The 16,061-nt window shown below is 38.0% G+C and overlaps 1 annotated feature.

The window, feature by feature from the left end:
* Window positions 15,273-15,773: an enhancer, noted in NCBI's record as "H3K4me1 hESC enhancer chr6:82383043-82383543 (GRCh37/hg19 assembly coordinates)". NCBI's record gives its function as "activates a minimal SCP1, AML or CMV promoter by ChIP-STARR-seq in naive H9 embryonic stem cells {active_cell/tissue: H9 hESC(naive)}" and the evidence as "EXISTENCE:reporter gene assay evidence [ECO:0000049][PMID:30033119]".

The following is a 16,061-nucleotide window of genomic DNA, read 5'->3' on the forward strand; positions in this document are numbered from 1 at the left end:
CTCCCAGATTTCTTCCTCACATTCCTAGACATAGATATTCTCTTGAATAAATGAGCCAATCAACCAACAGAGTGTATTGTTAGTGGTGTAAAACCGAACAAAGCAACTCCACCTGAGGAAAGTAGATTCATACTGAAGGCTTTGAATATGTCTTAGAAAAGTCACTCTCCATCACAAACAGTCTCATGAACAAATAGCAGCAACAACTGCTCTTGACAGATGAAAATAGTATACAAAGAAAAAATCAGGCTCTGGAATCCTGAAAGAGCTGAGTTCTTGGAGGTTGCATATATCTGGCATGATCTTCAGAAGCATAAATGTTAATTTTGATACTACCTAGAGAAATTGAAGCCAATGGGGGTGGGGAGACTGTTTAGCCTATCTCTACAGGCTGGATCCTGTGAATAGCTCCACCTCCCTATCAGATTTGAAAGTTTTACTTATTTATACTCAGTTGTGTTTCAAATGGGATTGAAGTAGTTCAATTTGCATAGATGAGTTAAATCTGATTATGATTGGTATATGTCAAGTTTAGAAGGCAGAAGGAGAGAAGAATGTCTCCTCAGATCTGAAACACACATATTTCTGAGAATAATCACTCAAAACACTTAGAAAGATGTGTTTTATGGAAAATAGATTTATAAACAGTTCCATTTTCATTCAAAGTAAAATCTCAAACCTTCTCTAGTGAAAAAATAAAAATTAAATAAAGAAACTATATTTAAAATGGCATGCATTTTATTTCACTAAAGTATAGGACATTAAGCAAAGGTTTGGTTGCCTTGGTGACAAATTGTCCAAAGAGATGCATATCTCACAAAAAGGATATGTAAAATGCTTTCAATATACTATATTCATTGTAGAGAAATACAAAAATTAAAAATAAACTGGATCAAACATCAATTTTTTTGCTGTTTAAAGAACGCCCTGGCTTGAGCAAAGGATACCTTATGCTATTTTATATTTCTTGATCTGCTAAAAGCCTTCCTAAAGTGTTTTGAAATTTACTGACAACCACAACGATTTTAAGAAAAGTTTTTAAATTTCAGTGATTTTATGTATGTGTTTTTGAAAAATTTAGTGTCACCTAGTTGTATTCCTAATTGCCCAAATGATTCACTAACATAGACCTAGCTAATAATTATCAACATGTCTATTATTACTACTCTGTAACATATCACAAATACACTAATCTAGACTATAAAGTAAATGTTTTTCCTTGTATGCTTTTTTGTTCTGCAGAGTCCATTTAATCAAAAGGAGGATTAGAAGGCCAATCTTCTAAAACACAGGCTTCTTAATCTACTGATAGATTAAGAAGACTAAAGTAGAAAGGTCAACTTTAGGGAAGCTATATGAGAAAATGTGTACTGGTGTACATTGGAATTGTTAACATAGACTGGGAGAGGGTCACTTAAATGAAAAGAAACTTCACTGAGTAGGATAGTCTAGGAAAAAACCAAGAGCAAATATGCAGGTGAGGGCCCCATCTCTCTCAAAACTTGTTTTTCTTTATTGTTAATCATTGGGATTACTGAAAATAATGAATATTTATTGGATTTTTACAACATCACCTGGGAAAAACTGTCATCAATATTTTGGCGTATTTCCTTCCCAATTTATTTCTATGAATATTTTACAGACTTGGTTAAACATTGTGTACAAGTTTGGATCTCATTTTCTTCTATTTAATATAAAAATAGGTGCTTTCCAATAGGATAGCACACTTATCGTAAACATCTTTAAAGGTTGTAAGAATTTTTCAACATTTTGGAAGTATCATAATTTACTTTTTCCATCCTCTACTTTAGAACATTTATATATTTAATGAATGTTGGTACTACTCACATACCTATTGATGTATTTGTGATGTGAAGGAAGGAGAAAAAAAAAGAAAGCTAGAAAGATCGCAACCTTTAAAAGAAAGATATAGTACACTTTAAAAAAATCCCAGCCTGATAATAGGTATGTTCAGTTCTCATTTATATATAATATGTCATACATGCTGACACACAAATTGGAAAAAAATAGAGTTTAATTTATATGTGATGACTTGTAATGTTGTCAGGCTAAATATCTGGGCTATTAATATGGATCCCAGGAGTTGGAAATGATTGCCTTTTATGTTGCTTCTCTTGTTAAAATTAGCAATTTAACTTTTGCATTTTGAACATTCAAGTAACAATATTTTATAGCATTAGGTTGGTGCAAAAGTAATTGCTGTTTTTGCCCCTAAAAGTCATGGCATAAACTGCAATGGCTTTTGCACCAACCTAATAACATTTTTAAATGCCTACCTGCAAAGATCAACCAGGAAAAAAAAGAGGATATGAGTTTCTGTTCAGTTGACCAAAATTATATTTTTAAAATCTCGATGTATATTAAAAATCTGAACAGAAAAATCCAAATAATAACTATCCTTGAATGTTGGAGATATGAGTAAGTTTTTCTCCTTTTCTTATTTTTTATTTTGTTAAAAATTTCATAGTAAATAGGAATTCATTTTATAATAGAAAAAATATAAATTCTACATTTTATTAAAATAAAAAGTATACCTGGCATTGATTCCAATCTGCTATTCCTTAGCTGTGAACTTGGATGAACCATTTGATCACCCTAGTCCTCATTTTCATCATGCATAATGATGATTAACAACATCAGCTCTGCCTAACAGATGCATTTTTTATAAGAATTAAATTAAAATGCTTGTGAAAGTAGTATACAAATTAAAACATTCCATATAAATATACGATGTCATTATGACCAGTGATTTAACTATATGGCTAAGTAAAGAGAAGGGAGGAAAGATAACTACAGTTTCTTCCACTCCTTAGCAGACACCCAGGTATTATTTGGCAAGCTACACTTAAAGGATGCTGAGAGGGAGGGAAAAAAGAATAGGGGTGAAGTGGAGAAGGAGCTATAAAAGTAAGAGAAAAAAAAATCTGCCTACAGATTTTTCATAATTATCACTTACACCAAAAGAAAATTAACTTAATGCTGTGTTATGCACCCCTAAAAGCCATTATGATCAGATGCTAAGAGCTCTTCAGATTGCTGGATATTCCTCTTACCTGATTACATGATGAAAGACAACAGTTGTTAAGTAGTTTCCCAATTTAGCCTTATCCTTTTTTCCTACATTTCTTTATTACACTACACCACAATAAATTCTTCACCAAAATAGATTTCATGTTGTCAATTGTGTAATCCATTGGCTTCAAAATAAACTAGATTTTAAAAATCAGTTAACTCCCCTAATAAAAGAACTCTTCCATAAATAAAAATAACACTTATAATTAATTAATATATAATTAGTATATAATTAATACTATATTAATGTGATATGAAAACGTGTCACTTTTTTTTTTCATAATATAATCTCGACTAGATCATTTAACACATTTAGATGTATTAAACTCTTTTGATAGCTCAAAAATCGTATTTTATGCTAGGCATCAAAACCTCTTTATTTTTGTCAGTGATTATAAAATGCTTTTATGATCTAAGACGCTGGGTCAAACTCCATTATCAAAAACCATCACTCATTTTAAATTACAATTTCAGAAATCCTTAAAAGTCTCAAATCCGTAAACATTCTGTTTCAAATTGCTTTCAATATAGCCAACCTCTTTCGGAGTCAACTGTTTTGATTTCATCTTCTGTAATGCATTTGGAGGGTTTTTTTTTTTTTTAAGCAAAAACAACAACAACACTTGATCTTATTCAGTATTAGTTCCTGTTATACCAAGAGTTTTACAGCCTGCAGAATGAGCCCACTGTAGTCTAACTGCTATCCGCAGACCCAGATTATCAGTGAACAATGCAAGTCAAGATTGCATGGTCCATGCCCTCACAGTGGGAGCTATTTAGTTTCTCTGGGGTCTTTTAGTTTCATCATTTACAAACAGAGATATTTGAATAAATACATTTTCCAAAGGCATATTTTGGAGCATAGTGGTCCTACCTGATGGTATATGAAAGACAGATTGGGGTGGGGTGGGATGAGGGGATCATTAACATGGTGAATTTAAGAAAGGCTGTATCCTGTATTACTTGTTAAGGGAATCATAATGGGGATGAGCCAAGTAGATACTTAGAAGAAACCTTTGTAATTCACCCTAAATCACTGTTTCCATAGTGTATGTAAGCATGCAATCATTCTGTATTTTAGAGAGAAAGTAGAGACAGTGAGACTCCAGAACACTGGAAAACAATTTGAGAAAGTAGATTTTATAATTAATAGCATTCCTTTTAGCACTAAAACTTTCTGATATTATGTTGGTCAACAAAAGAGTAGTAAAATGTATCCTGCTTATAAGACAATTATGTCAGAAAACCTTACTATATGGTAACAAATAAATTAAAAACTAATAAAGTCCCCACTAAAAATGATTAATGCCAAATATCCTTTTTTTGATATTTCATACCATGAAGAGTTGCCTAACAGCAGCATAAATCTAGGTGAAAATGGAAGAGATATAAGATTATCAAGCATTAAAGATTACTGTTTCATATTCAAAATAAGTTTTTGTTTACATTTTATTTTACATTTTTAGAGATGAGGTCTCACTATGTCGTTCAGGCTGGAATGCAGTGATACATATTGCAGCCTTGAACTTCTGGGCTTAGGTAATCCTCCCACCTCAGCCTCCAGAGTAGCTAGGACTACAGGCATGCACCACCACACCCAGCTAATTTTTATATTTATTTTTGCATTTTTTTTTAATTTATAAAGAAAAGAGGTTTAATTGGCTCATGGTTCTGCAGGCTGTACAGGAAGCATGGCAACACTGCTTGGCTTCTGGGAAGGCGTCAGGAAACTTACAGTCATGGTAGAAGCGGAAACGGGAGCAGGCACTTCACACGGCCAGAGCAGGAAGAAGAGAGATTGAGGTGGAAGGTGCCTCACACTTTTTTTTTTTTATTATTATACTTTAAGTTTTAGGGTACATGTGCACATTGTGCAGGTTAGTTACATATGTATACATGTGCCATGCTGGTGCGCTGCACCCACTAACTCATCATCTAGCATTAGGTATATCTCCCAATGCTATCCCTCCCCCCTCCCCCCACCCCACCACAGTCCCCAGAGTGTGATATTCCCCTTCCTGTGTCCATGTGATCTCATTGTTCAACTCCCACCTATGAGTGAGAATGTGCGGTGTTTGGTTTTTTGTTCTTGCGAGAGTTTACTGAGAATGATGATTTCCAATTTCATCCATGTCCCTACAAAGGACATGAACTCATCATTTTTATGGCTGCATAGTATTCCATGGTGTATATGTGCCACATTTTCTTAATCCAGTCTATCATTGTTGGACATTTGGGTTGGTTCCAAGTCTTTGCTATTGTGAATAATGCCGCAATAAACATACGTGTGCATGTGTCTTTATAGCAGCATGATTTACAGTCATTTGGGTATATACCCAGTAATGGGATGGCTGGGTCAAATGGTATTTCTAGTTCTAGATCCCTGAGGAATCGCCACACTGACTTCCACAATGGTTGAACTAGTTTACAGTCCCACCAACAGTGTCAAAGTGTTCCTATTTCTCCACATCCTCTCCAGCACCTGTTGTTTCCTGACTTTTTAATGATTGCCATTCTAACTGGTGTGAGATGGTATCTCATAGTGGTTTTGATTTGCATTTCTCTGATGGCCAGTGATGGTGAGCATTTTTTCATGTGTTTTTTGGCTGCATAAATGTCTTCTTTTGAGAAGTGTCTGTTCATGTCCTTTGCCCACTTTTTGATGGGGTTGTTTGTTTTTTTCTTGTAAATTTGTTTGAGTTCATTGTAGATTCTGGATATTAGCCCTTTGTCAGATGAGTAGGTTGCGAAAATTTTCTCCTATTTTGTAGGTTGACTGTTCACTCTGATGGTAGTTTCTTTTGCTGTGCAGAAGCTCTTTAGTTTAATTAGATCCCATTTGTCAATTTTGTCTTTTGTTGCCATTGCTTTTGGTGTTTTGGACATGAAGTCCTTGCCCATGCCTATGTCCTGAATGGTAATGCCTAGGTTTTCTTCTAGGGTTTTTATGGTTTTAGGTCTAACGTTTAAATCTTTAATCCATCTTGAATTGATTTTTGTATAAGGTGTAAGGAAGGGATCCAGTTTCAGCTTCCTACTTATGGCTAGCCAGTTTTCCCAGCACCATTTATTAAATAGGGAATCCTTTCCCCATTGCTTGTTTTTCTCAGGTTTGTCAAAGATCAGATAGTTGTAGGTATGTGGCATTATTTCTGAGGACTCTGTTCTGTTCCATTGATCTATATCTCTGTTTTGGTACCAGTACCATGCTTAACCAGGAAGAAGTTGAATCTCTGAATAGACCAATAACAGGAGCTGAAATTGTGGCAATAATCAATAGTTTACCAACCAAAAAGAGTCCAGGACCAGATGGATTCACAGCCGAATTCTACCAGAGGAATTCGGTAGAGGAGGAACTGGTACCATTCCTTCTGAAACTATTCCAATCAATAGAAAAAGAGGGAATCCTCCCTAACTCATTTTATGAGGCCAGCATCATTCTGATACCAAAGCCGGGCAGAGACACAACCAAAAAAGAGAATTTTAGACCAATATCCTTGATGAACATTGATGCAAAAATCCTCAATAAAATACTGGCAAAACGAATCCAGCAGCACATCAAAAAGCTTATCCACCATGATCAAGTGGGCTTCATCCCTGGGATGCAAGGCTGGTTCAATATACGCAAATCAATAAATGTAATCCAGCATATAAACAGAGCCAAAGACAAAAACCACATGATTATCTCAATAGATGCAGAAAAAGTCTTTGACAAAATTCAACAACCCTTCATGCTAAAAACTCTCAATAAATTAGGTATTGATGGGACGTATTTCAAAATAATAAGAGCTATCTATGACAAACCCACAGCCAATATCATACTGAATGGGCAAAAACTGGAAGCATTCCCTTTGAAAACTGGCACAAAACAGGGATGCCCTCTCTCACCACTCCTATTCAACATAGTGTTGGAAGTTCTGGCCAGGGCAATTAGGCAGGAGAAGGAAATAAAGGGTATTCAATTAGGAAAAGAGGAAGTCAAATTGTCCCTGTTTGCAGACGACATGATTGTATATCTAGAAAACCCCATTGTCTCAACCCAAAATCTCCTTAAGCTGATAAGCAACTTTAGCAAAGTCTCAGGATACAAAATCAATGTACAAAAATCACAAGCATTCTTATACACCGACAACAGACAAACAGAGAGCCAAATCATGAGTGAACTCCCATTCACAATTGCTTCAAAGAGAATAAAATACCTAGGAATCCAACTTACAAGGGACGTGAAGGACCTCTTCAAGGAGAACTACAAACCACTGCTCAAGGAAATAAACGAGGATACAAACAAATGGAAGAACATTCCATGCTCATGGGTAGGAAGAATCAATATCGTGAAAATGGCCATACTGCCCAAGGTAATTTACAGATTCAATGCCATCCCCATCAAGCTACCAATGACTTTCTTCACAGAATTGGAAAAAACTACTTTAAAGTTCATATGGAACCAAAAAAGAGCCCGCATTGCCAAGTCAATACTAAGCCAAAAGAACAAAGCTGGAGGAATCACACTACCTGACTTCAAACTATTTTTGCATTTTTTAAGAGATGGGGTCTCATTCTGTTACTGAGGCTGGAATCCAGTGGTACAATCATAGCTCACTATAGCCTCAAAGTCCTGGGCTCAAGCAGTCCTACCACTTCAGCCTCCAGAGTAATACAGGCATGTACCACCATGCCCAGTCAAAATAAGCTTTGATAACAAGGAGTCTTTATACAATGGTGTATTAGTCCATTTTCACACTGCTATAAAGAAATACCCAAGACTGGATAATTTATGAAGGAAAGAGGTTTAATCGACTCACAGTTCCACATGTCTGAGGAGGCATCAGGAAACTTACAATCATGGCAGAACGGGAAGCAGACACATCTTACAATGTGGCAAGTGAGAGAGTGAGCATGTGAAGGAGGAACTGTCAAACACTTATAAAACCATTAGATCTCATGAAAAGTCACTCACTATTATGAGAACAGCATGGGGGGAATCACCTCCATAATTCAATCACCTCTCACCAGGTCCCTCCCTCAACACGTGGAGATTATGGGGATTACAATTCGAGATGAGATTTGGGTGGGGACATAGAACCAAACCATAACAAATGGTGCCCTTTCTCTTTTGCAAAAAAATACCTTTATCATTTGTATAATGTAAAATGAAAAGCCATAAAAAAATTTTTAATCAATGCTTCCAATTCTTAGACATCTGTGTTTGCATGGTTGCTGTATATCTAGTAGATGAATTAATGGTTCAGGGTAAATTGCAGAGAAGATAGAATGGTTTGAAAGGAAACCAAAGCACATTCATTCTCCAGGACTTAGAGAAGCTGGAATAAGAAATGGTGTAGAATCACTGTGGAGACTAGAGTCAAGGGAAATCATAACAAATTACTTTTCAGTTAGATTACAATTAGCCGCCATCTCATCCCTATGTTCCTGAGAAAAAACACTTGCTTTGAGTGCTAATAGCTTGGTAACAGAGCAGAAGGGGGAAAAAATGCAGTGCCAAGATCCTGGGTTTCCTTTTTCCCTATATTTTTTTGTTCCAAATTTACCTCAGCATTTGCCTTCAGCTAGATAAATCTGGATCCAAATCAGGCCCTGTCACTAAATTGGCTATATTTTCCTGGGCAAATCCTTGGATGTCTCTGAGCCTGTTTCTCTCATATGTGAAACTGACATAAGAGTACTTAACTTGCATATAACATGAAAACTAGAAATAGTGTATGTTAAAGTGCTGGCACATAGCAAATCAGGTCTGACCCTAGGCACATGGATCAATGAGTGGAGTCTGTGATAGTGCCACACCAGTTCTATATAACAATATTTCAAACCATTTCCATATAACAATATTCCCTCTCATGCAGATGTGCAGTATTCTCAATTCTGTTGGATAAAATAACCCCCAAACCCATCCTGTGCTCTCCCAGTATGATGTGTTGTGGTGTCATAGCTAAAAGTCATTTAGGATTTGCTGTGTGCTAGGCACTGTGCTCAGTCTATCACATACAGGCTCTCAATGACTCTCCACAAGAAACTTTGAGGTTGAAAGTATTACAAATGAAAAACCTGAGGAATGAGGATGGTGATGGTATCACCTCTGGTAACCCTGGCTGTAACAGAGCCGGTACTAAACCCAAATCTTTCTGACCCCAAAGCACATGCCCTTCCTCATCTCACAGTACTAGTACCTGTATCCAGGTCTGTCCTGATGGAGTAGTTTTTGCTCTAAGCAAGCACTTTCCAACCTTTTCCTGAATAGCTTCTTTACAAAGATAAAAATTGTATAACCCTCTATTACACCCCTCCCCAGTTATACTTGCACTTTTAATTTTCTCTGGGAGTTTGCATAAGGATAAATGTTATCTTTACTGCAGATATGCTTTCATATGAATTTGCTTGTTATTAGGCATGACAGCAGCTATACAGATTAGAAAATTAGATTTACTATTGTGTAGAAGACATACTGGCAATCTAGACAGTGTTTCGTGTACTCTGGATAACGCTTTTAATAATTCCACAGCCACCCTTCTCAGAAATCTGCAGCCATCCATTGGGATTCACTATCTAGCTCTTTCCTGACACTGGCAAAACTTACGTTTAACTTAGAAAGTTCTATTTTTGGTGGGTAAGTTAATCTATAGTTTATATTATTATACATTTTAACAGAAATGTAAAACCTCTATTCTCATAAAAACTTAAATTTCAGAGATCCTTCAATTTAATCTCTATATATTCACATATAAATCCGTGATGTGTGTATTCACTATATGCGAGGTACAGAAATACAATAGTGAATACAATAATAATGTCTGCCCTCATAGAGTTTGTAGTCTGCTGGGATGAATAGATGAGGAAGCCAAACATCAATTAAAATACATACTACAAAGTACTTTGAAAAGCAGTACAAAGTGCCTATGTGGCTGAAATGAAATACCTAATTCACATCATCAAGAAAGGCCTCCAGCAGGAAATGTCTAATCTATGTTAAGAAGAATGACAGGAAACAGTCAAATGAAGGTATCAGTAAGGATCAAGAAAGACAAGAGTGTGGATGAGAGAAAGGATGGTGGATTTAGGGAATCAAAGAATCTTGGTAGATGGTAATGGTAAGAGTGTGAAGTATAGAGTGCCTTAAAATAGGCTGGGCGCAGTAGCTCACGCCTGTAATTCTAACATTTTGGGAGGTCAAGGCGGGTGGATCATTTGAGGTCAGGAATTCAAGACCAGCCTAGCTAACATGGTGAAACCCTATCTCTACTAAAAATACAAAAAAAAAATTAGCTGGGCATGATGGCGCATGCCTGTAATCCCAGCTACTCGAGAGGCTGAAGCAGGAGAATTGCTTGAACCCAGGAGGTGAAGGGGTTGCGGTGAGTCAAGATCATGCCGCCACTGCACTCCAGCTGGGGCGGCAGAGTGAGACTCCATCTCAAAAGAAAAAAAAAGACTTGGGTATGGATGAGAGAAAGAATGATAGACGGTAATGGTAGCATGAGTAGTATAGAGTGTCCTAAAATAAAGCTGATGCCCTAAGTGTTAAAGGTCCTTGTTAAGGACTACAGATATCATGTGGTCTAACTGGCATAAGAAAGAAATATTATGCCTCTTCAAATTGCTTAACAAAGATGCCAACCTTATCTGCAGCATGAAGAGCCAGCTCTGAGCTCTGAGCCAGCTTTTCTAAGTCCAAATCCTGCTTCAGCATAACACCAGGTTACCTTTTTATCCAGATGGGTGGATCTGATGTACCCACCCATCCCTTGGCTGCTGCAAGTGTTGGCAGCTAAGAGTTCACAGCTGCACCCTTCCTCCAGAAAATGTCCCTGGGTTACTGGAAGCCACTCCACCCAGGAAGGATATTCAGCACCCTTATAATATAGCAGAATGCCCTTGCAGTGTAGTTTAGACTCAAGAGCCTCCCTGCATCAGACCAAGACTAGACTTGATTGATCTAAGACCACATTTTCAATTGCCTCTTTCTTCTTCCTTACTCGGCTTCACTCCCTTTCTTTTCTTTTTTCTTTTTCTTCTTCTTCTTTTTTTTTTTTTTTAAGACAGAGTCTCTTTCTGTCACCCAGGCTGAAGTGCACTGGCATGATCTCGACACACCACAACCTCTGCCTCCTGAGTTCAAGCGATTCTCAGACTCCCAAGGAGCCGGGACTACAGGTGCGCACCACCATGCCTGGCTAATTTTTTTGTATTTTTAGTACAGAACGGGGTTTTGCCATGTTGGCCAAATTGCTCTTGAACTCCTGACCTCAGTTGATCCGCCTGCCTTGGCCTCCCAAAGTGCTGGGATTACAGGCATGAGCCACCGTGCCCGGCCCACTCCCTTTCTTAGAACTTTTCCCAAAGAGCACTCCTTTCATAAATCAAGTGCACCTGAATCCCTGGTTAGTCAGGCTCTGTTTCTAAGGAACTCACCTAAGGCATGCCACAAAAATTAAAGAAAAATGTTATCAGGTGAAATACACACAAAAGATATTAAACTAAAAAACTAAGCCATGTTATCTTCAGATAGATGACTCAGTCAAGCTGTTATTAATGTAATCCTCTAGCCTCTTGGAATGGTGCTATAATTGAGGGAACTCAATCCAGAAACAAATAATTTCAAAATTACTCAAATTTTAAATGTGCAATCTTCCAAATAGCATACAAGGAATGTATAAGCCTGAACACTACATAAAGTCCTTCTCTAAGCAATCTACTTTCCTCCCATCAAAGTTGCCTATCAACTTTCCTTAAAGATTTTCCAGCTCATTCTACTCGAGTCCTATCCCAAGTGACCCTTTTTGTCTTTCCCATTTTTTTCCTGATAGTACATCACTACAGCATAAAATACCCACCTACACACCCCCTCAGAGGTTAAATAGATCAGGTGGTTCCAGGTGGTGGATAGTGGAGTAAATTAAATGCTATTAGTAACATGCATATATCCATAATTATTGTAACATTGTTATCAAAGTGCTCCACAAATTTTCTGATTATACATTTGAGAACTAAATCCATCCTTACTGATTTTCTCAAAAGATTTTTCCATTTTGTTTCTTAATATGTTGTGCTCTATCAACAAAGCAGAAAAACAACTAAATCCCTAAAATGAAAATGGAAAAAACTAATTGATTAAAATGAAGTGACTAAGATGTATTCCTTATTGCTGTGTCTCTTCATGCATATAAGAGGCTAAATGCATATTATAAATAGAGGGTCCTTGAGTATCAAGAGAGCCTTCCTTAAAAACTATGAACTGAGACAAAGCAAAACATAGGACATCAAGAATTAACTTCATCAAGGAAAATGATTAACAATATCCATCTTTCAACCAATGCATCAGTTTTGAGATTATAAAAAAACACTTTTGCACACATCCTTGGCATTCCCACAGTAACATTCAAGTGTCAGTGGATGATCCTTCCAGATGTCCTTCCAGAAGGTATCTGTACTTTCCTAGGGTGAACGACTAAAACTAAGAAAAGTCATTAAAATCTTAGTCCTGGAAAATGTATCTTTGAAATTCTCCCTTCAGTTGATAGTGGCAGCAGTAGCAACAGCAGAGCCCTATTTATTGCAATGTGTCAACACAGCCCAGTTACTCTGAATGTAAAGTACTGTGTACAGCAGAGCTTGGCCCCACCACTGCTTTTAGGAAGCCCACTTTCTGTCAAGTGGGTTGCTTTTCTATTTTATTAGATGCAAACTAAGAAAAATCCTTGTTTTTATGGCCCCAAGAAGTTTGTGTGCATACTTCAGGTGCCTGATTTATATGTTTTTCTAACCAACTCCAAAAAGAAAATATGATCATAGGTATTTTTTGTAAGTGTTGCAATGCCAGACTTTCTTCCAGCAAGTTGAAGCAATGGATGGCTAAGTCAGCCTTACCTTCTCAGTCTGTTTAGTCAGAATGAGATCAATTGCCCCCATGCAGTTTTGAGCTCCTCGAAAAGGGCTTCTGTCTTATTCAATGTTGTATTTCAAGTATCTAACATATAATTAATTAGTGCTTAATATTTTTGAGCTGAATTTTTTTTATCCACATAGTAACAATGTAAAAGGCTTTCCTGGTACTTTCAGGAGTTACTCTGATAAGTTGGTGCCTAATAATGTATATAACACTTGTGCCTTCCCATTTAATATACCATCAAATGAGATCTTAGAGTCAGTTGTATGAGATGAAAACACGACATACAGAATACCTTGGAGATATTTCAGGTTTGGTTCTAGACAACCGCAATAAAGTGAATGTTGCAATAAAGTTAGCAAGTCATGCAAATTTTTTGGTTTTCCAGTGCACATAAAAGTTATGTTTATACTATGCTGTGGCGAATTCAGTATGCATTCACATTATGTCTAAAAAAAATGTACATGCCCTTGGTACTTACATAAAAACAGCCATAGATCAGTGGAACAGAATAGAGAACCCACAGATAAACCCATACATCTACAGTGAACTCATTTTTGACAGAGATGCCAAGAACACATACTGGGGAAAGAACAGTCTCTTCAATAAGTGTTGCTGGGAAAGTTGGATATCCATATACAGAAGAATAAAACTAGAGCCCTATCTTCACCATATACAAAAATCAAATCAAAATGGACAAAAGACTTACATCTAAGACCTTAAACTATTAAACTACTAAAAGAAAACATTGGAGAAATTCTCCAGGACATTGGACTAGGCAAAGATTTCTTGAGTAATACCCCACAAGCACAGGCAACCAAAGCAAAACTGGACAAATGAGATGACATCAAGTTAAAAAGGTCCTACACAGCAAAGGAAACAATCAGCAAAGTGAAGAGACAACTCACAGAATGCCACAAAATATTTGCAAACTATCATCTGACAAGAGATTAACAACCAGATTATGTTAGAAACTTAAAAAACTCCAGAGGAAAAAATCTAATAATCCTATTAAAAATGGGTACAAACTGAATAGATTTTTCTAAAAAGAAGACACACAAATGGCAAACAGAAATATGAAAAGGTGCACAACATCTGTGTTAGTCCATTTTCATGCTGCTGATAAAGACATACCCGAGACTGGGCAATTTACAAAAGAAACAGGTTTAATTGGACTTACAGTTCCATGTGGCTGGAGAAGCTTCACGGTCATGGCAGAAGGCAAGGAGAAGCATGTCACCTCTTACATGGATGGCATTAGGCAAAGAAAGAGAGCTTCTGCAGGGGAACTCCTCTTTTTAAAACCATCAAATCTTGTGAGACATATTCACTAACACAAGAACAGCAAGGGAAAGACTTGCCACCATGATTCAATTACCTCCCACCAGGTCCCTCACACAATATGTGAGAATTCAAGATGAGGTTTGGGTGGGGACACAGCCAAACCATATCATTCCACCCCTGACCCCTCCCAAATCTCATGTCCTCACATTTCAAAGCCAATTATGCCTTCCCAACAGTCCTCCAAGGTCTGAACTCATTTCGGCATTGACTCAAAAGCCCACAGTTAGAAGTCTCATCTGAGACAAGGCAAGTCCCTTCCACTTTTGAGTCTGCAAAATCAAAAGCAGGTTAGTTACTTCCTAGATACAGTGGGGTCACAGGCATTGGGTAAATACAGCCATTCCAAATGGGAGAAATTGGCCAAAACAGAGGGTCTACAGACCCCATGCAAGTCCAAAATCCAGCAGGGCAGTCAAATCTTAAAGCTCCAAAATGATCTCCTTTGACTCCATGTCTCACATCCAGGTCACAGTGATGCAAAGGGTGGGTTCCCATGGTCTTGAGTAACGCTGCCCCTGTGGCTTTGCAGGGTACAGCCTCCCTTACAGCTGCTTTCACAGGCTGGCACTGAGTGTCTGCAGCTTTTCCAAGTGCACTATGCAAGCTGTCAGAGGATCTACCATTCTGGGGTCTGGAGGAAGGTGGCCCTCTTCTCAAAGCTCCACTAGGTGATGTCCCAGTAGGCACTCTGTGTGGGGGCTCCCACCCCACATTTCCCTTCCACACAGCCCCTGCCCCTACAGCAAACTTCTGCCTGGGCATCCAGGCATTTCCACAAATCCTCTGAAATCTAGGCAAAGGTTCCCAAACCTCAGTTCCTGACTTCTGTGCATTCACAGGCTCAACACCACATGGAAGCTGCCAAGGCTTGAGGCTTGTGTTTTCTGAAGCCATGGCCTGAGCTCTACATTGGCACCTTTCAGCCATGGCTGGAGTGGCTGCGACACAGGGCACCAAGTCCCTAGGCTGCACACAGTTAGGGGACCCTGGGCCCGGCCCACAAAACCACTTTTTTCTCCTAGGCCTGTGATGGCAGGGGCTGCCACAAAGGTCTCTGACATGCCCTGGAGACATTTTCTCCATTGTCTTGGGGATTAACATTTGGCTCCTCATTACTCAAGCAAATTTCTGCAGCTGGCTGACTTGAATTTCTCCTCAGAAAATGTGATTTTTCTTTCTATCACATTGTCAGGCTGCAAATGTTCTACTTTCCTTATAAAACTGAATACCTTTAACAGCACCCCAGTCACCCCTTGAATGCTTTGCCACTTCAAAATTTCTTCTGCCAGATACCCTAAATCATCTCTCTCAAGTTCAAAGTTCCACAGATCTCTAGGGCAGGGGCAAAATGCCACCATCTTTTTGCTAAAATATAACGAGAGTCACCTTTATTCCAGTTCCCAACAAGTTCCTCATTTCCATCTGAGACCACCTCAGCCTGGATGTTATTGTCCATATTGCTATCAGGCTTTTGTTCAAAGTCATTCAACAAGTCTCTAGGAAGTTCCAAACATTCCCACATTTTCCTGTCTTCTTCGGAGCCCTCCAAATTGTTCCAACCTCTGCCTGTTACCCAGTTCAAAAGTCGCTTCCACATTTTTGGATCTTTTCAGCAGCACCCCACTCTGCTGATACCAATTTACTGTATTAGTCCATTTTCATCCTGCTGATAAAGACATATCTGAGACTGGGCAATTTACAAAAGAAAGAGGGTTAATTGGACTTC

Source organism: Homo sapiens, chromosome 6, assembly GCF_000001405.40.
Source record: "Homo sapiens chromosome 6, GRCh38.p14 Primary Assembly".
In the NCBI taxonomy this organism is placed as follows: Eukaryota; Metazoa; Chordata; class Mammalia; order Primates; family Hominidae; genus Homo; species Homo sapiens.